This window comes from Homo sapiens, chromosome 6 (assembly GCF_000001405.40).
Source record: "Homo sapiens chromosome 6, GRCh38.p14 Primary Assembly".
NCBI lineage: Eukaryota > Metazoa > Chordata > Mammalia > Primates > Hominidae > Homo > Homo sapiens.
Genome location: NC_000006.12, coordinates 139833163 through 139860706, shown reverse-complemented (window position 1 = coordinate 139860706; position 27544 = coordinate 139833163). Strand labels below are relative to the sequence as shown.

At 37.0% G+C, this 27544-nt stretch overlaps 1 long non-coding RNA gene across 3 annotated transcripts in view; it reads right to left on the bottom strand.

Moving 5' to 3' along the window:
- Nucleotides 1-235: 235 nt before the first annotated feature.
- Nucleotides 236-27544, bottom strand: part of FILNC1 (FOXO induced long non-coding RNA 1) — an 89399-nt gene continuing 62090 nt past the window's right edge. Inside the window, exons 1-3 of one of the 3 annotated variants that reach the window (NR_138541.1) lie at nucleotides 5730-5857; nucleotides 3888-3943; nucleotides 236-1422 (exon numbers count right to left, since the gene is read on the bottom strand). This is a non-coding gene — a long non-coding RNA (FOXO induced long non-coding RNA 1). Of the gene's footprint in view, nucleotides 1423-3887; nucleotides 3944-5729; nucleotides 5858-27544 lie in introns of those variants that run through there. The other 2 variants (NR_138542.1, NR_038399.2) reach the window with 2 other exon arrangements.

Genomic DNA, 27544 nt, shown 5'->3' with positions numbered 1-27544 from the left:
ACTATACATTATGAAACGTGGTCTTCAAGACGTAGCAGGCAATAACTTGACTAAATGTTTTGCAACCACATGACAGGGTCAACAGTTTTTCACCTCTTAATATCTTCCTCTCCACTCAATTCACTTAGCCAAAGTCATATTTTAAGTTCTGTTTTGCAGCAACCCAGTCATAGTCCTAAATTCGTTATGACTTGGTTCAACTGCATGTAATGAAAATTCCACAAATAACAATGGCTTAAACAAGATAGTTTATTTTTCTTGCACATAAAAGGTGTCCACAAGGAGAGTATCCAAGGCAACTATGGCAGCTTTACGGTTCAATGAAGTACACAGTCCCTTGTCTGTAAGTATCATTCTGCACATGGCTTACATTCTCCAGACCATCATATTCTGGTCCAAGATGGCTGCTGGAGCTACAGATACAATACTCGTACTCTAAATAACAAGGAAAAAAAGAAAGCAAGGAAAAACCGTCATATTTTTAAGGAGACTTTTCAGAAAAATTATACCCAACAGTTATACTTAATTGTCTTTGGGCACAACCTAGTTATACGGCCACACTTAAACACAAAGGAGTCTGGGAAATGTCATTGTTTAGCTGAGTGGCATTGTGTCAACCTAAAAACGTCAGGATTTTTTTACTAAGGAGAAAGGGGGAAATCAATTTGATAAGATGTTTCTCATAGATGTTTAAGAGTTCTTACAGAAGAATTAAGTGTATTTTGTGTGTCTATATTTGGCATCAAGCACGTTTATCTATCAACGTACTAATAAGTGATTTCTTTGTCTTATGTTTTTCAATTATATACAATAGAGAAACATAAAAATTCAGACTGTTCTCAGAGATTAAGTGAAATATATATACACACACATATACACACATATACACACAAACATGCATATAATTGACATGGAGCATAATAAATCCCTATCTATGATTTAAAGATTTTAAAAAATCTATCACTACAAGGAATTTGTTGCCATAATTTGTTGTATAAAATAATATTTTATTGTTTAAACGATATTTGTCACATTTATAACTAATAGCAAAGAATTATTCCAAAACATATTCCTGAGATGAATTTTTGGTCAAAATTTAAACTGAAGCAAATTTGTAAGTTTGCAAAGACATCAAGTTACTTTCCCCACACTCATAAACTTCTTGAATTCAGTTAGCACTAGACGTAGCATATTACAAGAAAGGCTGTTTGTTTTGCTGTTTACAGCCCAAAAAGTACTGGATATCTCCCAGGAAATTCCAATTTTAGGAGGATTCCAACAAGCATGAAGAACTGAGTGGTTCAGATTTAGGCACAGATTGGAATCATAACATGGACATTATTCCAAGTCCAACGTGTCTGATCTTTGAGATTCAGCTTTCATTCATGCAGGTTCCAACAGTGAGGCATTTATAAATAAAACCTGGAGATAAAACAGGATTCAATATGTCAATATATAATCTTCATTACTGGCATAATAAAAATTAAAATGTACCACTTTCACATAAGCAAAAAAGTAATTTTTGTTACTTTTTTCTAAGATAGATGGCAGTTACTTATAGGTTTTTTTTTAATTTATGCTGTCCCATAATATACAAAAATGCTATAAAAAATGCTTAAAAACTTGAGTGAAACCAATGTTGTAAGATTACATATGCCCACCAAATATGCACTTTCATTCATGAAATTAGTTGTTCTTATGTATGTTTAAAATAGGCTTTTAGTAATCATTCATTTGTTATTTAACAAATTTTTCATTGTAATGTACAATAAATGCATTTATTTACTAGAGGTACTTATGGCTCTCAAAGCAAGTAATGCACATTGAACCATATATTAGTGGATTATTTCTGTGATATAAAGTTCAGTGTTCATCTAAAATAGATCTCTTTCTCTTTTTACTCTATGCCCTTAGTCCTCCTAATTTCTTTATCTGGTAAAATATCCTGCACAAGGAAGATATTTAATAAATGAGGTTAAGTAATAGGTAGGTCAACGGTAATATTAGAATTACCTTTCTACAAAGAGATGCATTAAGAAGCAATGTAGGTCAGTCCTGCAGAGCCTGACTAACAGGTTCTGACACAGGCAAACAGTGCACTTTGGCTAATCCTCCAGATTGCTTATTACCAACACTTGCAATTTTAACTTATTGGAGTCAATATCAGAAATAAAGATGAGAAAATGATTCAATCCATATTGCTACACTTCAATCACTGAGTTGAGAGACAAGACGTTTTAAGATTTCCAGAAGTTACAAAACCTGTCTCTACCCAATAATTGGAACAACCTGTTAACAAGTAAAAGTTATCACCAACCCAGTTTTGTTATCCACTGATGGTGTGTGTGGGAAGGGAGATTTACTGGATTTATCGATTTTATTTGACAATTTATATGCATAATTCTAAAGAATCTTTTCTAGCATAAGAAAAATGAACTTGGGACCACTGAGAGTGAGTTCATTAATTTTCCAGTACATAACGTTTTTATCTTTTTCACTAATTTTTTAATTTTTTCCAACTTAGCAGGATATATTTTCCTCATCTTCAGGATTTAATAGGTATATTTCCAATTTCACTAGTACACTAACAAACAGAAAAAAAAAGAAAGAAAAAATCATAGATATGTCAGATAAATATATACATTACATTTTATTATTTAACGTAAAAACATAAATAATTAGCCTGAAAGTAGCAAATATAGAAATGAGGAGAGCAAATTGTCATCCTAGCTTTGTCCTTACTTTCTGGGTGACCTTGAATAAGCCTCTTACTTTCCTGAGCAATAACTTTCTTGTCTGTAACATAGAATGATCATGCTCATTTCGTCTTTCACGGCGTTGTCATAACATCACATAACACAATTTACGTCAAATACTTTTAAAGCATAAAGAATTATATAGTAAAATGTTAGCCTTGTTAAAAACCAATTCAAAATATGAAATGCAATCCTCTTTAAAAAGATAAATTAGAACCTTGGGACGTCATTATTGGCATTTCAAAATGATTATTTGCTTTTTAAACAAATTTACTGCAAGATTAGTACTTTCATTTAAAGGAGAGGATAAAAGAGAAGAAAGAGAAATTTAGAAAATTCTCTGAATCTCTGGGAATAAGCGATTACTCAATTTCTTGGTTTCTGGCATAAAATGTTTAGTAGAAGACTTTCTTTGAATTATTCAAATTATATTAGGAAGTAAGTCTGAATTTACTACCAATATGAATTTCACACCACTGTATTCAACCAAGAGGCATTTGAGCACCCTCTCACTGTGATTATTGTATTTCAAGCATTAGGTAGTTCTAGGGGTCAAACTTTGCACTGTCGTCTGTGTGAATGGTGACTCTAGAGTTCAGTTCTATTCGGCCTGCACAGCCATATGAGGCAGCTCTGAGCAAGGAAATTTGAGTCTGTTTCTATTACATTGGAACTGAGTCAATGATCCCAATAATGTAAGGACACATTACCAAGCTTCCCATAATATATGTGAAACTACAAATTCTAAATTCCAAATCTAAAAGAACAGAGTATTTTCTATCTTAAGGCTTTCTAACACACTTTTAAATAGAAGCCACTCATTTAATTATGATAGGACTTGTCAGGAACATAATTACTACATAAAGCAAAGATTTCAAATGTTTCTTTCACTAATCTTCTTCATATGTCTAATAACTGGGTATTTTCTAAATCATAATCTTTATTTTTGAATGCATTTCACATTCCCATCATTCTAAGCCCTCTGTAATATTAAAAATATGTTTTTATCAGCCATCTACTTTCAATATTTTAAAATGTTGGTAGCTCTGGGGCAGATGGAAATAGGCATGATTACGTGTTGTAAAGGTGTCTTGGGCTTATGTTCTAAGATCACAGATTACTCTGACTTACCTGTTTTCATTCCTTTCTTTTAGATGTTTACCTCCTTTGGGATTATTTGCTGCTGGCTAGAATGAAAAGACAAACATTCCCTTCAAACAGTATGCCATTGCCTAATAATTTTGCAAGCTCAAATGAAATCCAACCAAATTCAGAATTTAGATTTTCCTACTGGCTTGTGTAATTTTTGTTTGTATGGGATAGAATCAGGTTCCATCTTTTATTCTCCTTCAGAATATCATTAACAAAGAAAACTTTGAATGTTAGTTGGTGGGATAGATACATTGACACTGTTTACATAGCACTGTTTCCTACTCGGGCCTGCACACAAACATTCGCACACATTTTCATGTACACACACTCCTGGGGAGGTCAATGAATATTACAATTCTTCTTCTGGAAATAATCCTTAAGAATGAATGAGCAAAAGACACAGTTTTCAACCCTATTTTCTCTTCTCTTTCTCTCTTTTTCTTCCCTCTGTTCTTTCTCTCTCTCTCTTTTTTCCTTCTTTTTATTTTTTTCTTCCTGGAGAGGTTTCTGAAGTTCAACAGTGATTCTTTAATTAAGAGAAAAAAAAAACCACACATACACACACTAGAGAACAAGAAGGAATAGTAAACAGTTCCCTCCACTGCTAGAGGGGTTAGTTACAAAATAAACATTTCACAGACTGGACCACATCTCCTGTAATGAGACAGCTCTGGCTAGTGAGACTGCAGCTAAAGTCCCCCCATTAAGGGCATTCACTCGAAAAATTAAGCGACCCACTTGTGTTGACTGAAAACATCCTTGCAGAGGGTTTTTGCAATCACCTACAGCATTTTTTGACAATCTGCCTTGTGCTTAACACTGCCTTTCCTGAAGGCTCTCTCTGCTGTGTTTTGTTTTAATGGTTCAGCCTCCTCACTGGTGATTCAAGGTCTAAGCTCTTTCTGTTAAGCCTCTGTATAAAATAAAACTCCTTAAGTCAGAGAAAAGGAGAGGTGAGAAGGGCATTCAGTTTGATTTTTTAGAAGGACATACAGAGGCAGGAAATTAGTATTACATTTTTTCCTTCTCCAAACCAAAACATACTGACCAAAGAAGATTGTTCACATTTGCAAAATTTGCTTTGAGCTCCTCGAAGGAAAGATGCTATATAAAATCTAAAAATAAGCCATGAAAAAAAATGCCTTAGAATAAAAAAAAAAAGAGCATTCTAGCAATAACCTCAGAAATGTCAGCATCAGTCCAAGAAATGCAGCAGGAAGTCACACTAGGATATTATTTACAATCCGGTGGCATGTCACATATCAAAATATATCATGATCTATCAAAATTAGGTCACTGTCTCTAAAGCACTAAATACATACAAACTATTAATGAACATGACATTATATTCCTGTTTAAGCAATGAGAAGATGGAAGTAAAGAATTAACCCGGACAAAGTCATTGGAAAAACAACTGAATTTTAGCTCAGTATTTTCAAACAAGAAAAACTCAACAGGGGTCATACTTCATAACATTACAGATGAAATGAGACAAAAGGTCTAAACCACCCATTTATTTGTCTTTCAAGCTACAATTAAGAGCTACTAATTTATGAAGGTGTTTGTTCACTTGTCAACCAACACAGCACTGCATACTGAAATGTGTAATTCACTTCCAAGTCTCTTCTATCATCTAGAGTTATTTCTTTGACCCACTCACAAAAGGCATTTTTCTAACATATTAAATAATTGATTTCTGCTCTCTATTGTATCCATTGTATCAGAATTAAAGAAAAATACAGACAAATACATTTGTTTCTACAAAAGGTAAAAACATATACATGTAAGAATAAATTGTTAGCTAAACACTTCGGGGAGTACCTTGGAAAGCCGGAGACATAGATCACCTTAATTTACTCCAGGCACGGCTAGGTCTTCACTGTTACTCGTTGACGTCTACTCACCTTTGCTTCTTTACTCTTTTCAGCTTTAATAGCTCCCTTCTTCATCTCAACTATTCAAACCCAATCCAGATTTCACAACCCTGCATGAATAGCATTTTTTCTTCAGACTCTTCTTTGAAAAATGCTAGCTTTAAATTGTCCCCCTTCTCTGAATCCTTATTGTAGCTAGATTTCATATAACCCTATTAAAGACTTGGTTGTTTTGCTTTAATGTATGTTAGCTTTGTCATTCATTAATTCATTCCACAAATATTTATGGGATGCCTACTATGTGCCAGGTATAACTCTAGCTGCTGGGTATACAGCAATAAACACAACAGACAAAAATCTGTGCTCTAATTTGTGTTTACATTTTATTGGAATTTGTAGCCAATATACACTATAAATAAGCTATAGCGTCAGGTAGTGATAATGCTAAGAAGAAAAGCTAAAGCAGAGAAGAGTGATTAGAAATCTCATAATGGAGATATATGTGTGGAGAGGTGCATATGTGTGAATAGGGTTCTTATTTGTCTGATTTTGCTGAAAGTTTCCTTATAAAACTGGCATAAGAAAAAGCTTTTGCAAACCACTGCTATATGGTTCTTAACACAGTACTGGACATAATACAAGTATCAATAAATACTTACTAATTAATTCTTTTAGCTCTTTGCTACTGCCTTGGCCTATAATTATAAATAAGCTATTTTTACATTTGACTGTTATTCTCTGATGAAGAGGAAAGCAAAGGATCTTAACTCTGCTTAAAAAACAATGAAGTGTTTTGGAGTCTGAAGTCTTGCATTCTGAATTCACCTTTATTATTCATTAACTGCTTGACCTTGGTCAAATCCATTTTTCTCAGCATCTCTTTTGTCATTTGTAAAACAGTAATAACAATATTTGCTTCGCAGAATAAGGACCAATGAGGTCAGGCATATGACAGTATTTGTAAGATATTCTATGTTATACAAGTGGTGGTTATTTATATTATCAATGAGAAGTTGGGAGAAAAAAAACTTCCCTAATGTCCAGTTAGGAGACATGCATGTAAAAGGAATGTGGGGCTGTGGAGAGCTGAGTTAAGACACTAGAGCTTTAGGAATACACTCATCACATTTTACAAGGCAATATTTTAAAACGTGCCCAAGGGCTTCAACCAATAAAAAACTAAAGTTGCCATTTGCTAGAAGAAATAAACTTCCAGAAGCTATATAGTATCTGTTCCTTGTAGTTTATTCTTAAATGGAGAAAAGCAATTACATACACACAGAAATACCTAGTCAATCAGCCCTGAAGTAGTTACCAGGAACTTGAGACAAGCTACATACTTTTGTTTCAATAACTAACTGAACACGTGCTTCACTCAGGTCTGCTCCTAGATACTTTTATGGCTTATAGTTAACTCTGCTGGGTAAAGGTCTTGCCACTTCCCTGACCTTGGACCTTGATGTCATTGTGAAACTGCTGCATCCAATTCCAACTTCATTCTCAAGTCAGCCTTAACCACACTTACTGTTCTACCCAGCATTTGAGAAAGAGTGTGTCCCCAGAAGCTATGGGAAAAGATCCAGAATGCCTGTGACCATTAACGAGTTGTTAATGGTCTTAACAACTTATATTCTCTTGTATTCAGAACCAAAGCTCTTTGTTTTATGTTTAATGAAGAATATAAAAATGCAAAAATGTCCACAGGACATCAAAAAAGTATACTTGAATCTCTCATCCATTTCTGAAAGAGAAAAAGAAAAAAAAACGATGTTGAATTGTTTGGATTCCATTCAGAGGCATACAGAGAAATAAAAAGTTGAAACTAAGTTTTCGGATTAAAGAGTCTTTAAAGTGTACAATAAAAAAAATCTTGTGTTGTAATAAGGTCCAAAGGAAGAATCTATGTCTTTTCTCACGGCATTAGGAAAACAGGCTCTCACTAGAGCACAATCCACGCAGACCAGCTGTGGAGTCAAAGGGATATTGCTATCACAAATCCTTTTGGTATTCTCAGTGATAACTACTCTGAATTAGATTTTTTTTTTCCCATGGCGGTCTCTTTTCAAGCCAAAATCCTTCTTCAGTGGACCACTGGAATGGTGAGTGTTCAGTGAACCGCACAATTGCCAAAGAGATAAATATTCCAGATGTTGGGAATCAGAGGTTAAACTAGGTTTTGTTTGCATTACTAACAGACACCTTCCTACTTAAATCAGAAAGACTCATGGGCCTACAGGAAGTGACACACAACCTCAGAGGTATTTACTGTCCATAGTCTGTAACAGCATCTCACTCCATGCACAGTTGTAACTGCAGAGACGTTCTTGGACGTGTGTTCCCAGCCCTAAGTAATCTCCATAAACTTAACCATAAATCTAACTACAGCTAAACGTGAGAGTTTCTGTTTTGTTATTATATATCTTAATCTTCCGTGTGGAACATCACTCATTCCACAAGAAAAAGGAGAAGAAAGGCTCTGAACAATAAAATCAGCAATGTGTCTCCCCAAATCATGAAACAGTTAAGAATGAGCCCCACTGAAAATACAACCAGAATGTGAAACAAAGCCCCTCTCAAGCCCATCATAAAACCGTGGTCTGGTCAAGCTGCCTTTGTTTAGTAGTCAGGTCTTTGCTAGTGAAAAGTTGTAAATGCATAGGAATGTTTTATCCTTGGGTGTGACTGTTAGTAGCTTGCAAACAAGGAAGGAGAGGAGATGATAAAAAATATATATCAACCTTTTTTGATACCACTATCTAAAAGTGTTTTTTTCTCTCTTTCTGTAAAACCGTATAGATAGATGCCAAGCCCATAATCAATTTTTCCTATCCAGTGTTTGAATATGAAATCATTATAGTAATAGAAACTTATAATACTCAACCACCTTGACTTACATAAAAACTGACTAAGTCAGAAAAACATAGAAACAAAATTATTGACCAAAGCTGGTAAAATTAAAATAATTGATTTTATCTTTAAGTCTAGCCTTGGTGTATGTGGATATAGGCTGAACCAAATTAAGACAGAGAAGGAATTCCAGATCAATGTGGAGGAATGAAGGCATGCCATTTACCACGTTTTTCTTCCAAAATTGGCAGTAAACGTATTTTAAAAGAAGATAAAAAGCACGTTTAAGAGATTAATGAAAAAGGGAGAGGAGATAACAGGATTTTGTTTTAATAAGAAAATCAAGAAGCAGAAGGATGAGTAGTAAATGACACAGTAGAAACCCCAGACTATTTTAAGAAAACCTTAAAATTGAGCCAAATAACACTAGGATTCTGGGGATCCTTGAAACATAAATCATTAAGTACTTATGGAAGTAGAGTATACAGCTAAAAGTCCATAGGTATTAGCTAAAATTCTGTTTAAGAAACAAATAGAGACCTACACCCTAGGTGCTCAGAGATAGCCCCTTCCCCATCCTTGACAGACTAAAATTTTACTTTCTAACAATACAGAATAACAAAAACCCTGGATGCAAGAAAACCGGGCCCAGATAAGAGCTGTGATTCATTTCTTAAAAAAAGAAGGTTACGTGAAAGTCTATAGTCTGAATATTATTCCAGTCCGCTTATTTGGCGAAGTTCTAGAAAGAATGCTATCAGGGTTATGCCTGCAAGAAGAAGATGGGAGAATTACTAGGGGAGAAAAGCTCTATAAATTCTACCATTTGGGGACCTCCCCCAGTGAAGATTCCCAACCCTGTAATTCTACTGGGAAGTCTAGCATTTAACAAGTTCCACCCATAAATGCACAGTGTCCAGTTAGCTTCTTAGTGTGTCGTTAACAAATGTGCACAGCAAGCTAAATAGTCAAAGATATTTTATGAATGGCATAGACAAAAATAAAGATAATTTAAAACCTTGGAAGACATAAAGAAAAGGAAGATAAAAATAGATTTATAAAATCTATTATCATATTTATAATTTAAAAAATTATATGAATGCAATAAGATAATGCTGTCAAAAAATCTGAGAACAAAAAGAGCTATTCAAAAATTTAAAATATAATATAAAAAATTAAAATTCCATAGAGGATTAGAAGATAAATTTGATGAGGAGCCATAAAATAGAAAAGAAAGAGAAAGATGGAGAACAGGAAATAAATTAATAATAGAGAATCAGCCAAAGAGGTCCAACGTCTGAATAATAGGAGTTTTTGAAGAGAAATTGGAGTGAAAAATTACCCAAGAAATTATTCAAGTAGATTTTTCAAGAATGAAAGGCATGGATTTACAGATTAAAAGATCCCATCAATGAGCCAGCACAATGAATAAAATAAAGAACTACATCAAGGCAAGCTGTGAAATTTTGGATCACCGGGGATATAGTAACAATTCTAAAAAGGTCTATATTTTTAAAAATTGTTCAATTTTACATGAACAACAAAAACCAATTTGGCAGAAAAAGAATCAGAAAATAGAGTAGCATCAGTTTTCTCAAATGTACTCTTGGAAGGTAAAAATGTCTTTAAAATTTTGAATAAAAATTCTTTTCAATCTAGAATTCTATACCCAGCAAACTATCAAACATGTATGAAAGTTACCCAGCAAACTATCAAACATGTATGAAAGTAAAAAGATGTTTTAAGACATGCAAAGTCTCAAAAAATGTAACTCCTATGTATCTTTTCTTAGTGAACTAATAGAAAAGGTATAGCAATTAGATGTGTGTGTGAGTCAAGATAAGGAGCATTTGGGATTCAGAAAACAAGAGACCAACCAAAAAAGACCAGGAGCATTCTCTTCAAAAGGATGAAGGGACATTATGGAATAATAATTGAGGTGTAGATAGCAAGAAACTGGTCCAGGTTGAAGCAACAGGATGGAAAATTCCAGAAGGATGTCTCCTGGGGGATGGGGGAGTGGGGGTGGGGGGTGGATGAAAGCTCACCTGATGCTTTGAATGAACTTTGGCAAAGAATTTTGGAAGAAATCAGTGGTAGGTACACTGATTTCTTATTAATTTCAGGTTAACAAAAAGCTGTATGAACAAGAAATGTAGTCATAGTACACTGTATAGTTAACCTATGGATGCTGGTTAACATAGCCATGACAATGTAAGTACTGAATATTAGTTTAACCTAACTATTGATTGTATTGGGTGAATGGGGAAAACAGTGGAAGGAAGACGGTACTAAGGAAGTGTAAGAGAAATCAAACCTGCATTATCCAGAATGGGGAATTAAGATCTAAAATGGAAAAATCAAGAAATAGTGTCACAAGCATACCATTTAGAAATACAGAGGCAACTAGAAGAAACTACTGAGATCGTACAAGGTGGCAGTTTTGAAGAAGTAGAAACTGAATGTAGACAAGAGTGTGACAAGGAACTTGTTTCTTGTTTAGCATTATAGGACCAGTTGATATGGAAAATTATGTGTGTACAGCTGATAAAAATAACTTTTAGGCCAGGCAAGGTGTCTCAAGCCTGTAATCCCAGCACTTTGGGAGGCCGAGGAGGGCAAATCACAAAGTCAAGAGATCGAGACCATCCTGGCCAACATGGTGAAACCCCATCTACTAAAAATACAAAAATTAGCTGGGCATGGTGGGGCGTGCCTGTAGTCCCAGTTACTTGGGAGGCTGAGGCAGGAGAATTGCTTGAACCCAGGAGGCGGAGGTTGCAGTGAGCCAAGATCACGCCACTACACTCCAGCTTGGTGACAGAGCAAGACTCCGTCACAAAACAAAACAAACAACAACAACAACAACAAAATAACTTTTAATTTTAAAAAGAGAATAGCTAGAGAACTAGTGCTATGAAATGGTTTGGTACATCCAGCTACTAACCAACTGGGGAGATTTATACAACAAACTGTTGCTCAGTTGAATGTTTACAGAGAAGTAGTTACCAACAAGAAATAATTAAGATAGACACTCCTGGCCGACAGTACAGCCCAATCAAATATATAGAGGCAGGACAGGGGAGGACACACTCAGGAACCTACAGGTAATATGAAACGGTCAGAGCAGGGGGGCACAGATGGTGATAGTGGTCTGAGTTGAAGTAGGTGAGGAATGTGTCCAAATGGACATTGGAATCTTGAAATCCACCCTAAGGAGTTTGAACTTTTTTCCGCAGACAGTCGGGAGCTCTCTGCAGATTTAAGCCAGAGAAATAACATAACAGATTTCCATTTGGAAAAGTATATTTGACAGTTTTATGGAGAGTCAATACAAGGCCTGAGACAGAAGGCAAAGAGTCGATGCAGGGGAGTATTACGAAAGTCTAAGCAGAAACAAACAAGTGACTAAACCAAGGTATAGTAAAAGGGATGTAGAAGCATAAGGTTGTGGTAGCTACAATGCAGGAAACTGGTGCTAAGAAGAGAGATGCAGAAAATCTTCCCAATTACCCGAAGACACAAACCATTATCCCTGTTTAAGGGAAAACCATGCTAATTTGTCAAGTAACTTGAGAAGAGAACACAACTAGTAAATGATAAAATCAGAATTAAACCTAGGTCCCCATGAATACAAATCTTGTTTTTTAGCTGGATCACATGGAGAAAAACCTTTACTTCACACATAAAATGGGAATGATGATAGGATGTAACTCATGTGATGACTGGGAGGAGAAAATGAGAATGCACATAAATTTGTTTTTTAACCTAAAAAAAGCGTTACATAATATTGGTAGTTAAAATAACTTTGCCTTAAGTCCAGCTGTTTCCAAACTTCTGTATTCATCATTTCTACTCACTTCTGTACACTTATACTAAGACGTGACAAATATTTGATTTTTACATGTACCGTAATTTCATGCAGTTGTACATCTGTGATGTAATCCTGTCTTTTTGAAAAATTGCCCATTTGTTCCAACTGAATCTAAGTTCCCTGAAAACCAGGTGGGAACTTTAGACCCTTTACATAGAATCTACCTAATGCTTTCTATCTGCTTAAATATATACTGACCCTTTGAATGAAAATCCTTTTCTAATCTCTCCAAATTTCTGTGCAGTATTAAAATACACCTTTCTTTCCCCACCCAGACAGGGAGGACAGACTGAAAGACAAAGACGAGGGTTATTTTTTGGTAATAATCATTTGCACTTGTGGGTTGGGTTAATAACAGTCAAGAGCACACAATCTGTCAGAAACAAAAACACAAAGGTCTTATCTTTGATATGCTCAGAGGTCTCCAAGTTTTTTATTATTTCTGTTTCAGTGTGACACACATTGTCTGAGGGGAGTAGAGGGAGGGGCTCTGCTGGCAGCTCCGTTATCTATGCCTCGATGTTAGCCTGGGGAGAAGATATCATTTACTCTGCCACCTTTGTGTCTCCTGGAAAATCAGATAACCTACTTAATGATTTCTAACCAGTTAAGCAATCTGGACCCTACATAGATGCTGTAACTCCTTGGCACTGATGTCTCAGGCTAAACTGCTTAGTCTCTGAGACTCTATACTATTTCACAAAAATACTGAAGAAAACAGCCTGGTGAAATAAGGTTTGCTGTTTTGTATGGGGGTTGCTATGTTGGTGTTTCTAGGACTTCGTCAGTCTCTCTCCATTTAGGATCATTTGCCTTAATTTTCCTCCATGATTGCACTAGGTTTATTGCTCCAGTAAATTTCTGCAGGGGAAGGGAGGGCGGGGAGGTACCTGAATACCCAAGGGATTGCCAGCCCGCCTGATATCACCTGACTGCTCAGACCTTCTATCACAACAAGCGCATTCCTGAGGATTCAGTTGCATTGGTGGTGCTAATCCCCGGCTAGAGACATCAGAGGAAAGTAAAAGTGAATGTGTATTTTCTATAACTGCAAAGGTAAGGAGCAAAGACAGAAGTGGGAAGAGGGCAGAGCCACAGCTCAACCAGAAACATTCTTAGGGGAAATAAATGAAAAGCCATACTGTGCTTACACCTCTGCCGGAAACAGTCAAATCCAAGGACATGTCATCAAGCTAAACAGTCATATTATTACAAATAAAATTTCATTCTTCACTGGTTTTTTTATTGTTATCCTGACTATATTATTATGCTTAATTATTCATTATCATTTTTCTCCATTATTGCTGTTATTAATGATACTGTGTTTTTAAAAACCCTGTAATAAAGCCACTTCCCTTAATCAGTCACTGTTTATTTTCTGTACTTCTGTCTCCATGGTGCAAGGGACATAATTGCTTTTCATTTTCGGCAGGCAGCAAGGGTGGAGAGAGAGGGAAGGTACTGGAAAAGGAAGGCTCTCCCTAAGCGCCTTGCGCAGGGTACATGGCAAAGCTACTCTCACAGGCATTACACTTTCATCTGACTTTCTCAGCACATTTAAAGTGTGGCATGTGTTCCAGGAAGAGGAACTTAACCTGCAGGAGAAGTTAACCCAGCAAGTTACAAGTCCTAGAAAGCCTGTGCCCAATAGTGAGCCACAAAGCCTACAAGATAAAATTATTAAATATATATCACTGCGTTGGAAAAATTTCTGGCCTTTGATTCCTATCTAAACTTAGTTAGCTTGCTATCCCAGGAAAAAATTTATCTTATAATAACTACCTGGGCAATCTACTGAAAATGTAAAAACTAGAGCAATCTTGTCATTCAAAGTACTTATCCTACAGATGGAAATACTGAGGCTGACAAGAGGTCAAATGACCTCTTGCAAGGTCACACGGCAAATTAGGTGTAGATCCAGGAAAAGAAACCAAGGCCGCAGGATCCTTGTCAGGTTCTCTCTCTTCCTTAAACCACAGTCTTCCTCAATATGATTCTCCAGAACTGACAATGATGAAAAATAACTTACAAGATGACTTATAAACGGTCAGTAAGGCCTATGCTTGCCAATGACAAAAAAAAAAAAAACACTTTAGTTGAATTGGCTTTTCTTCCCCCAAAAATCTGATCATCAAATACAATGTCTGTATATTGCTATAATTTACTGCCAGCAAATTGCATTTAACTTCATATTAGCTGTGGTAACTCAGAAACTTATATTATTCTGATTCACATTCTACCATATACTGAAAGCCGACTATGTGTGAGATATTGCATTAGATGCTGTGGGGACAAAGGCAGCCCCCCCTTTGGGGTTCAAAATCAATGAGGCTGGGATTCAGCAGTTAACCTCTCTGCAAAGACTTTAGGTGGAAATTTGGACATAGGAACCCTTGTAAACCTGTGAGCTTTGGAGCCTTGGGGGCCCACACAGTGATTGTGAAGAGTCTTTAAATCCATATATATATTCACTTGCTCTTTCAATGAATGTCACAAATGTTGCTAACATTAAAAGTGGTCCTTATGGCCGGGCGCGATGGCTCACGCCTGTAATCTCAGCACTTTGGGAGGCCGAAGCGGGTGGATCACGAGGTCAGGAGACCGAGACCATCCTGGCTAACACGGTGAAACCCCGTCTCTACTAAAAATACAAAAATTAGCCGGACTTGGTGGTGGGCACCTGTAATCCCAGCTACTCGGGAGGCTGAGGCAGGAGAATGGCGTGAACCCAGGAGGCGGAGCTTGCAGTGAGCTGAGATCGCGCCACTGCACTCCAGCTGGGCGACAGAGCGAGACTCCGTCTCAAAAAAAAAAAAAAAAAAAAAGTGGTCCTTATGTTGGAAGTTTTAGGAAGCACTTAACTAGAAAAGCTTTTTTTTCCCTTCATCTTTTAAGTTACAGGGTATATGTGCAGGATGTGCATGTTTGTTACATCTGTAAACAAACCAAAAAAATGTGCCGTGGTGGTTTGCTGGACAGATCAATCCATCACCTAGGTAATAAGCCCAGCATCCATTAGCTATTCTTCTTGATGCTCTCCCTCCCTCAGTCCCCAACAGGCCCCAGTGTGTGTTGTTCCCTGCAATGTGTCCATCATCTGCAGGGATGCTCTTATCATCCAGTTCCCACTTATAAGTGAGAACATTTGGTGTTTGGTTTTCCTGCTTACGCATTTGTTTGCTGAGAATAACAGCTTCCAGCTCCATCCATGTCCCTGCAAAGGACATGATCTCGTTCCTTTTTATGTTGCATAGTATTCCATGGTGTATATGTACCACATTTTCTTTATCCAGTCTATCATTGATGGGCATTTGGGTTGATTCCACGTCTTTTCTATTGTGAATAGTGCTGTAATGAACATACCCATGCATATGTCTTTATAATAGAATGATTTATATTCCTTTGGGTATATACCCCATAATAAGATTGCTGGGTCAAATGGTATTTCTGCCCCTAGATCTTTGAGGAATCTCCACATTGTCTTTCACAATTGTTAAACTAATTGAACACTCCCACCAACAGTGTAAAAGTGTTCCTTTTTCTCCACAGCCTCGCCAGCATCTGTTGTTTCTGGACTTGTTAATAATTGCCATTTGGACTGGCGTGAGATGGTATCTCATTATGGTTTTGATACCATTAGAGAAAACTCATTTGATTTCTCTAATGATCAGTGATGTTGAGCTTTTTTTTCATGTTTGTTGGCAACATGAATGGCTTCTTTTGAGAAGTATCTGTTCATGTCCTTTGCTCACTTTTTAATGAAGTTGTTCATTTTTTTCTTGTAAATTTGTTTAACTTTTTTGTAGTCTCTGGATATTAGACCCTTGTCAGATGGATAGATTGCAAAAATTTTCTCCCATTCTGTAGGTTGCCTGTTCACTCTGATGATAGTTTCTTTTTCTATGCAGAAGATCTTTAGTTTAATTAGATCCCATTTGTCAATTTTGGCTTTTGTTGCAATTTTTTTGGCGTTTTCATCATGAAATCTTTGCCTGTGCCTATGTGCTGAATGGTATTGGCTAGATTTTCTTCTAGGATTTTTATAGTTTGGGGTTTTATATTTAAGTCTTTAAACCATGTTGAATTACTTTTTGCACATCATGCAACGAAGGGGTCCAGTTTCAATTTTCTGCATAGGGCTAGCCAGTTCTCTAAGCACCATTTATTAAATAGGGAATCCTTTCCCCATTGCTCATTTTTGTCAGGTTGTTGAAGATCAGATGGTTGTAGGTGCTTGGTCTTATTTCTGAGTTCTCTATTTTGTTCCATTGGTCTATGTGTCTGTTCTTATACCCCACTACCACGCTGTTTTGTTACTGTAGCCTTGTAGTATAGTTTGAAGTCAGGCAGCATGATGCCTCTAGCTTTGTTCTTTTTGCTTAGGGTTGTCTTGGCTATTCGGGCTTAAAGAAGAGTTTTGCTGCTGTTTATCTTTTTCTCTTTTGCTTTTTGATCTGGAAGATCAAGGATGGCACTACTTCATCACTTAATGGTTGTATTCTTATTAACATAAAAGGCTATCAAATGTCCATCCTAGTAATGACTCTTTTAAGTTCTCACCACATGCTATTGGCTTCCAGTCTTTATTTAAGAAAAAAAGGAGGCCGGGCGAGGTGGCTCACACCTGTAATCCCAGCACTTTGGGAGGCCAAGGCAGGAGGATCACAAGGTCAGGAGTTTGAGACCAGCCTGGCCAATATGGTGACACCCCGTCTCTACTAAAAATACAAACATTAGCCGGGCGTGGTGGTGCACACCTATAATCCCGGCTACTTGGGAGGCTGAGGCAGAAGAATCACTTGAACCTGGTAGGCGGAGGTTGCAGTGAGCCAACATCATGCCACTGCACTCCAGCCTGGGTGACAGAGTGAGACTCCATCTCAAAGAAAAGAAAAAAAAGGATGCTATATTCTCATCGTTACAGGTTTTTCTGAGAACAACGGGTAGAGCATTTTATTGGAATATAGCATTCCTGTGGGGAGAAAAGGTTTGTAGGAACTAAATCATGCAGATTTTTAAGTGTCCAATCCAATCTGTCGTGTGAGAGGTTATATAATTTATCCATTCCACAAATATGTAACAAGGGCACACTATCAAAAGAATGATCTGGGAAAGAAGGAGACAGACTGGGTTGAAATTTTATCTTGGATAACTGGAAGGATAGGGAAGACAATAACAGAAATATTAAATTGAAAAAGTAAAGAAAATTAGCTGCCAAAAAAATTTTGATGAGGAAAGGAGATGGCTTAGGAAGAACCTTGAAATACTGACATATTTAATAGTTTGATAGAGAAGAAGGAGCCTGCAAGGGCAACACAGATGGAAGAGAGAGATAGGTATGAGGAAAATAGAGGAATTGTGGAAGATAAGGAAAGAGAATAATTCAAAAGGCAAGAAGATGCCAACATTGTCCAATGCTGCTGAGAGACCCAGTGAGATGAAAGGCAAAGAAATATTCATTCAGGTTGCAGGTATCAAAATGTACTTATATGAGGAGATAAACAATCAGTCTTTAAGAGGGAAGCTAATACAATTATAAATATAAAGAAATAAAGTGGAAATATATAAAGAAAAAAGATACAGTTTTATTGGGAAAGTAAATCATTGATTAATTTTATAAAGGGTAGGTATGAGCTTGTAATTTCTATACTACACAGCCTTTAGTAGAAATGAGAAAATGAAGATAAAGAAACTCAACAAAAAACAACTTGAGTGACCAGGATCATGTTATTCAGTCATATTTTGTGTGTTCGAAAAGAGGGGGTGCAACATTTCAAATTAGATAAAAAAGGTGACCCTGGAGAATCCATATAGAGAGAATCTTGCTTTCTCTATGGTTAAGGGATTATCTATCATGCATCAGATGCCTTTTTGGGTATTTTATACATGACTCCATTCAATGCTTACAATGATAGCTAACACATACTACTATGGGGTAGGCATGTTTCTATGGGCATTATGTGTAACACCTCACTGATAACTTCCATAATGTTGGTAATACTATTCCCTTTTTTAAAATGAGAATAATGAAAGCATTCAGTACGATTAGGTAGTTTGCTGAGAGTCACAAACTAATAAACAGCACATCTGGATTCAAATCCCACTGAGTTCAAAGTCCATGTTACTTTCATTGCATTTATTACTTGGCTCAAAAGAGGAAGAGAAGTGAAACAGAACAAGGAAGTGAAATCAGAGATGCATGTCAAAATGTTTAAATTTAATTAACAAACCAGCGGCATTTTGGCTCAGATATGCCCATAAGGTGCCTTGCAAATGCCTTTGTACTAATATTGCTAAGAGGCAGTAGGTTCTGCTGAAGGCAATACTGTAAGGAAAATGAAAGAGAAAGGCTGTGACAATACAACCATGATTGTCTCCTGAATCATGGTTAACTTTCACCCTTAGAAACACTCACTGAATATAAGCTTTTTGAATAAGGAAGAACAGTTGTATGGTCAAAAGACAATGTTAGGGTCTACCTTTTCCCAGTTATAATTCATTCACATGTATGTTTTTCTGTTCTGCAGCTAATTTCTACAATGGGTACTTCACAGATCCATGGGGAAAATTCAATAAAACAATGTATATACATAGATTTTATGGAATTTAAAGTGCTATACAAATGGCATGCCTCATTATTCTCTGAACATTCAGATTCCAAAAGACTGCCCCATACACCTCAATTCCCTCTAACTTTCTTCTCAGCCTTCTCCATTCCATGTCCACTTCTCACTGTGTTCCAGAAAGGACAGACTGTATGCTCACCAATGATCCTTGTTGATTGCCAAAGGTTAAGTGGCAAAGCATTGTGGGGATACATTATAGATGTTAAAACCCAGGGAATCCAAAAGACCTAGGATTCTGTAATACTGCACTATCACATTCAATCTAAGACGCACATATCTCTGCATTCTAACAACTCTGAAATATGGATGCATCTTGTAATTAACATGATAAGAAACCATAACGTCCTGTCGATCAAATCTAGCTGACCACCTGCTTTTGTATGGCTCTAGCGCTAAGACTGGTTTGTACATTTTTTACAGTTACAAAAAAAAAAGAAAGAAAAATAGTTTTATAACATGTAAAAGTTACATGAAATTCAAATTTCCATGTCCACAATTAAAGCTTTATAGGAACACAGCCATAGCCATTTGTTTACATATTGCCTACGGTTGCTTTCTTGCTGCGATGGCAGGATTCAGCCATTATAATAGAGACCTTGTGGACCTTAAAGCCTAAAATATTTACTATCATCATTTACAGATAAGGCTTGCCGATTCTTATCATACTTCAATTGACAACACTTTATGTTTTTTAGTGGTTGTATTAGAGTTCTCCAGAGAAACAGAAGCAATATGATAGATAGATAGATAGATAGATAGATAGATAGATAGATAGATAATAGGTGGATGGGTAGATAGGTAGATGTTAGATAGAGATATCTCTATCCATCTCTATCTCTATCTCTATCTATATCTATATCTATATCTATATCTATATCTATATCTATATCTATATCTATATCTATATCTATGGCTCCTGCAATTATAGAAGTTGAGAAGTCCCAGGATCTGCCATCTGCAAACTGGAGATTCAGCAAAGCCAGTGGTATAATTGGGTGCAAGTCTGAAGGCCAGAGAACCAGGGCAGGCAATGGTATAAATCTCAGTCTGAGGACAAAAGACCCATGGCTCAACTCAAGCAGTCAGGCTTCTCTGGTACCTTTTTGAAATAATTGCATTATACAGGTGGTTGGAAAATAGTCTTCACAAACTCCTAGAACAAAATTCCAGGTTAGCAGCTGGGAATCAAATGTACATGGGGCAAATCTCTCAGATATTTTAGAGCCTAAATGGTGATAGTGGGGCACTGAGAGAAAAAAATATATATTTCTTATGAAAGAAATAAATCTGGCATGAGAAACTTATTTATGCAGTGGATCCTGGAGTTTGGGGAAGAGTATAAATTACAAGATTAGTACATCTACTTAACACATACCAACACAAGCTAGTTTCTCCTAGTTTAGCAAAAGACCTAAAAATATGCTATTAATAAAAGAATTTTCTCATTAAATGAGGACTTAAGCCACCCTGCTTTTGGACACCACTCTTTGAGGATAGCTGCAGGGGCAGAAAGTATTTGCCGTTATTGATTGCAAAAATAGGAGAGCAGTCATGACCTCGTGATGGACAGCTCAGAGGCTGGGCAGGACTCCTCATAGTTTAGCTCTTTATGTTTGGTTTCATTTTCTCAACTTTCTCTCCTCAAGCACTTCTCGAGGAGTCTTGGCATCCAAGTACTTCTCCCCTCTGGCTCAGATTAGGAAAATCTCATGGAAAGCCTCTGATTGCCTGGTTTAGGTCACGTTCTCACTTCCTGGACCAATCTGCAGGTTAGTAGGTGAGGTTCTACGTGACTGACTCTGCAGAGGTGCATACTTACTCTTAAACCAGTCACTGTTGCTAACCAGGCAGGTTGGGCAGAGGAACTTCCATCTGGCTCTCATGCTTGTGAAATGGAGAGCAGCTGAGGAAGAAAGAATGAAGCTCCTAAAAAGGGAAGGAAGCACAGACATAGCCGTGGGGGAGATCTGAGTCAGCCAGCCTCCCTTGTTCCTGTGTCCTGCCCTAGGTCTGATGTCAAGGCCCTCCAGCGTTCATGTCCACAACACAATATTTCAAGAATACATGAAACAACTTCATCAATGACATCATGGTAAAAATGGTAACTGTGAAATACCTACTGTATTTAATGGTCGGGATCACTGACCATTAAAAAAGTATTTTTCACTAATGTAAATTTATAAATCACAGAAAAAAGATTTAATAGAAAACATAATTTGTTATTATTTGATTGTTGCTCATGACTCAGATTCTTTGATGTCCACCATGTTCTTTAGTAGTCTACAATTTCTATTCATGAGACTTAAGGACTCTGCCTTGAATAAAGAGCAGATCACTTTAGTAGGTGACACAAAGAAAAATGAAATGTCTTAGGATCAGGCAGAGAAAGCTCAGGAGTGCCCCAGCTCTGTATGTGTGAAGGAGACTTGATATTTGGCATATCTGGCACAGTTTAGAGGAGTCTCTTTGGAGTTCGAGTTTCTGGCTGTATTAGTCTGTTCTCATGCTGCTGATAGACATTCCAGAGACTGGGTAATTTATAAAGAAAAAGAGGTTTAATGGACTCACAGTTCCTCATGGCTGAGAAGGCCTCACAATCATAGAAGAAGGTGAAAGTCACATCTTACATGGCGGCAGACAAGGGAGAATGAGAACCAAGTGAAAGGGGAAATAAAATCATCAGATCTCATGAGACTTATTCACTACCATGAGAACAGTATGGGGAAAACTGCCCCCATGATTCAATTACCTCCCACCAAGTCCCTCTCACAACACATGGGAATTATGGGAGCTACAATTCAAGATGAGATTTGGGTATGGACACAGCCAAACCATATCACTGGCCAAAGAGCAACTTATCCCAATATTCCCTTCCTCCTTGTGCACTTAGAAAGGATGTTGTCCCAATGTATCTACATTTTAAACAAGACTCATTTCTTAACTGCTCAGAGAAAATTTTTTTCCTTTCTTATTTTCTTCTATAGTTCTCTAATTTCTTCTTAACATATTTTCCTCTAATTCTCTTTATTTTTAATTTCAATGCCTTAATTTTTTTCCTACTTAGTGATTAATTCCTACTAATCCTTAGTTTTATCTATTTTTATATTGAAATTTTATCTGATGGGTTTAAGTATTTTATCTTATTCTTTAATCTTCTATAGTTTTATAATTTTAATGATCCACTTTTTATCTTTTAAATCTCATTTGTTTAATCTTACTTTCAAACTCAACATTTTGTTCTACTGGAATTTTAATTCTCTTATACGTACTTTTACTTTATTCTTGTTTTTTCAATCTAAATTTTTATGTTAAATTTTTTCTCTAAACCTCTATTGCCTTGACTTTTCTTTTCCCTTTCCTCTTTCTTTTTAAGTTTTAAAAATTATGATTGACAAAAGGAGTGTGAAAGTGGTGAAAATGAGAATGATGATGGAACTGTTAATAATAGTAGCAGAGGAGAGAGGTAGAAGCCCTTCTTTCTCTCCATGGCTCTTAGGGCCTCTGTGTTTGCCCCCAGATGAATTCCTAATTTCTTCTGCTCCACAAAAACCCTCACCTTAGGAAATTTGGGAAAATCTTTAATCAACACCCCCAAGATGACTATTTTCTCTACACAGGAAGAACAACTCATTTATTGAGATGTTTTCACTTCTTGAGACCTCACACTATGTTGGTTTTGGCAGTTTGTAGGCTTTGCAGACAGGAGAGAATGGCCAGGGAGGCACCTTTCCTGAGGGGCATCCACTAGGCGATAATGCTGGCCTAAGCTCCTTACAGTTGACCAGCACGGAGAGTTCCTATCACTAGACCCAAAAAGACACGCAGCGGATAATCCACAGCTGGGTTTCTGACTCTACTTGAACAACAGTCTGCCCTTAGAAATAGTAGTGTTTACCTCATAGACTTTCATAAGTATTCAATGAGTTGATGTTCATAAAACCCTTAGAACTATGCATGGCATACAGTAACTGCTATATGCTAATTCAATTTAAAATTTCTAAGTTGATTCCTCACACTTATTGGTGTCACAGAAGAATCCTCTTGCAGTTCAGTGAACCCTAGTCCCATTTCCTCACTGGGAGAGCAAAGAAAAAGCTAATGAAAGTGAGATTTAATCAAAAGAGGTTTGTTGTTGTTATTTATTTTACTTTTGTTATGGAATCATCTGGCATCTCTGGAAAACCTTCATAGATGCCAGAGACCATATTATTCAAATCAGAAAGTTGTCTGTTTTCCATCTTCTCTTGAGCATAAGAAAGTAATAGAGATTGGTTTCTTTCAGGATCTTTCCACCTTCTTAAGGGACAGATAATTGGGGAAAGTTAGAAAGAACTAATGACCCATTGTATCTACTGCATAGGGATGGTAATCTGTAAGATGGAGCTGATTATATTCCTACTTCAAGAAATTTTCTCTCATCAGAGCTCCATCCTTGCAATGCTCCATGTAGAAGAATTTCCCTCCTTATGACGGCCCTTGTCACATTATTAATGCATGTCCTCCTGCTCAGCCTTTAGGAATTGATACCTCTACCTTTTTCTGCATTAAAGACTGGACCCTTGGGTCTTCTTCAACAATTGCCCAACACTCTTAGGCAACAAATAATCCTTCCTTCGTTGACTCACCAATAAACTCCACCTCAACGCATTTTCCCATTTCCAGAAGGGCCTATCTTGTGTACATGAATTGTCAGGTCTAGGTGAGCCTTCTCCAATTAGGATAGTGGTTTTTAACTGATGATAATTTACCTAGGAATGTTGACAATTATATTTCCTTAGATTTACTAAATTTGCCTGGAGTTTTTCTTTCAAAAGCAAACTGAGCTTAAAAAAATCTTTTTTGTTTCAATAACTTTAAGGGTACAAATGGTTTTTGGTTACATGGATGAATCATATAGTGGTACAGTCTGGGCTTTTAGAGTACCCATTACCCAAAGAGTGGACATTGTGCCCAACAGGCAATTTTTCATCTCTCACCCTCCTTCCCACTCTCCCACCTTCTGAGTCTCCAATGTCCAATGTCCGTTATTACCACTCTGTACGCCCTTACATACCCATATCTTAGTTCTCACTTGTAAGCAAGAACATGTGGTATTTGGTTTTTCATTCCTTAGTTACTTCACTTAGGATAACAGTCTCTAGTTCCATCCAACTTGCTGCAAAAGACACTATTTCATTCTTTTTTATGGATGAGTAGTATTCCATCGTGTGTGTATATACACACACACACACATATAGGTATATATATATACACACACATATGTGTATATATATACACACATATATTATATATATACACATATATGTGTATATACATACACACACACACACACACATTTTCTTTATCCATTCATTGGTTGGGCACTTCGGTTGATTCCATATCTTTGTAATTGTGAATTGTGCTAAAAGCAAATTGTTTTGTTATTTTCATTTTGTTTTTCTCATCTCAGATCTCATAGACTTCTGTATTGTGGAAAACTATTTCTTTGACAGAAGATTAAATTTTAAAATATCCATCAAGTGATATCCACGGTTTTTAGACCATTTATTTTTCTGGTGTTTTTTTAAATACAATACTTACGTTTATTTTGGTACATACATTTCCTAATCAGGGCTCACTCTGTGTGGACATTGGGTTGCTGTTTGACATTCATTTATCCAACTGATCTATGACAAATTTAGTCATTCTTGGATGTAAACACCAAAATTTCTGGTGGCTCACATGCTGAACTACCAGGGTCATTGGAAAGTAGATGGATTGCTTATTCATGGATCACCTTTTAAAGGCCATTATATTTATGAAAATTTTTTTAAACTGCTAAAATTATTCATGAAGTGAATACTGATGGTGCTGAGTGGTAACACACGGAATGAAACACATGAAATGAAACCAGAGAGTATTTGACCCACATACATAGCCTTGGTGTGAGGTTCATAGATAATACTCACAGAGAGTCTCTGTGAGCTGATCATCATCTCTCAGATTGCTATTCTGAACATGGTAAAATGTAATCATTTCCCTACTGTAGTCCCTGGAAGGGCTTTTATGCAGTGTGCCTGCCATCCTGACTGGATTGGGGGAAGCAGTGAGACTCAAACATGAAAACTTTACAGATGAGCAGTTGATCTCCCAGTAATATTTAAAATTATGCATGGGTACCATAAGAGATTTCTTCTCCTATTAATGAATATCTAACAACTTAAACTGTTTATATCCTACTAACAGAGATGATAAAATATTTTTTCCCTTCTGATATATTCACAAGGAAGCAACTGTCTTTGATTAAGAAAATATTTCAGGCCAGGCACGGTGGCTCACACCTGTAATCCCAGCACTTTGGGAGGCCGAGGCAGGTGAATCACTTGAGGTCAGGAGTTTGAGACCAGCCTGGCCAACATGGCAAAACCCCTTCTCTATAAAAAATAGAAAAATTAGCCAGGAATGGTGGCATGCGCCTGTAATCCCAGTTACTCAGGAGCCTAAGGCAGAAGAATCGTTTGAACCAGGGAGGCGGAGTTTGCAGTGAGCTGAGATTGCGCCACTGCACTCCACCCTGAGCAACAGAGCAAGACCTTGTCTCAAAAAAAAAAAAAAAAGAAAGAAAGAAAGAAAATATTTTAACACAGTAGTTAGGGTATCACTTAGGAAACTTGAAAACCTGGGTTCAAAAGTCAATGCATCACATTAAGAGAAAATTGAGAGGACTTTATTTTTATTTCTGAAAAGTGACGGAAGAGAAGAGATAGAAAAAATTTGGGGAGATTAGAGCCTGTCACAGAGGAGGCAGCCAGGGAAAACCTCTGAGGATATATGGTAGCTTGGTGCAAATATCTGCTATAATTTCATCTCCATGAGAGCAGGGATGTTTGTCAGTTTTTTTCACTGATAACTCCCAAGCACCATGAGCTGTGCCCGGCACAATGTAAGGATTTAATGTTTTTTATAGAAAAGAGTGAATGAATGAATGAATGAATACACGAGTAGAAATTTTTAGTGTTCAATTTGAAATAGCTTGATCTTGGAATGTAAACTCTCAAAAAAACATTGGCCAACTTGACTATTTCCAAAGTTCTTTGTGAGTTGGTGAATGTTCTGAGAAAACTGCGGCTGAATTTCACATCTGGTAAAATCATGCCAAACAGACAGCACGTGTGAGAGAACATGATGATCCCTCACCCAACCTAATCCAGCGAAGGCAGATAAAGCCCCAGTACATGTGCAGGGATAATTGCGATATTTTTGGACTTCCATGGGGGCATAGAATGGGCTTCAAGCTGATTTTCTCTAAATACTACATGACCTGAAGTTTCCACCTAATGTCCAGGTTTTGTCCATTCATGTACCACCACATGTAAGAATTTGCCTGCATGTACTAGATCAGGACTGTAAGGAACAACAGAATAACACACACACACACACACACACACACACACACACACACACACACACCAATTTAGAAAACCCTCTCATAATATTAGTATAGTACTAAAGGAAAGGTTTAGAAGTTGATTACCCCAGGAAAGCATTGTGTTTAAGCTATACCAATCCAATGAGAATATACTGTGTCTTTCAAAAATCTTATTACAAAAGAGGCTGGGGGCTGAAAAATGAGATCGGAGGTGACAGATGAAGTGGGAGTAGCAGAGGGGAGCACCATCTCACATCTGGTTGCAGCTCTAAAGCCGTGGCTCAGACTGACCCTTTGCTCACCTGTGTTGATGCTGCCACACACGTAGGCAGCACTATGCCACGGGCACTATGTTTGCCCATGGGCTGCTGTCCATGCTGTTGCAAAATACCCCTGTTCCCATAAACTCTGCCCAGACCATGCATCACTGCCTTATTTGTGGCACTAATTCACCCATGACCTCCAACCTCTTTCAGGATTTAGAGCACCAAGTCCCTCTGCTGCCACTGCCCATTGTTCCTCTTAGTTTTTCTCATTGTCTCTGATGTTCACCCCTCCAGATGGTGGGGAGATGTACTGTTCTTAGGTTTGCACTTTAGCAGAGGCACCACTAGATTGAGGGGCTCTTGAGCCCTAATAATACTGTTTTTATCTTCCACTCAGCAAACTGGATTGAAGTCTAATTTTACAAAGCTTTGATGTTTTCTCTAGCCCTTTCTTTCCCATAACATGCAAAACTTTCTTCCCAAGGCACACAGATAAGGGAAACTGAGGCTATTTGTTTCCCTTTATACACAATTTATTTGTGAAGAGAGTATTTGCCAAACATAATTCACAGAAAACACAAACTGTACTTCATCCCAGGTTTCATCTCATTTTTATATCCTTACTTTCCTTGGGTCTTTTTCCCTAAAAACTTACTTTCCATTTATGTTATCTAGCTGTATTGAATATATTTGTACATGTTCTTCAGTTATTTCTAGAACAAGATGAAGTAAAATTAAGCA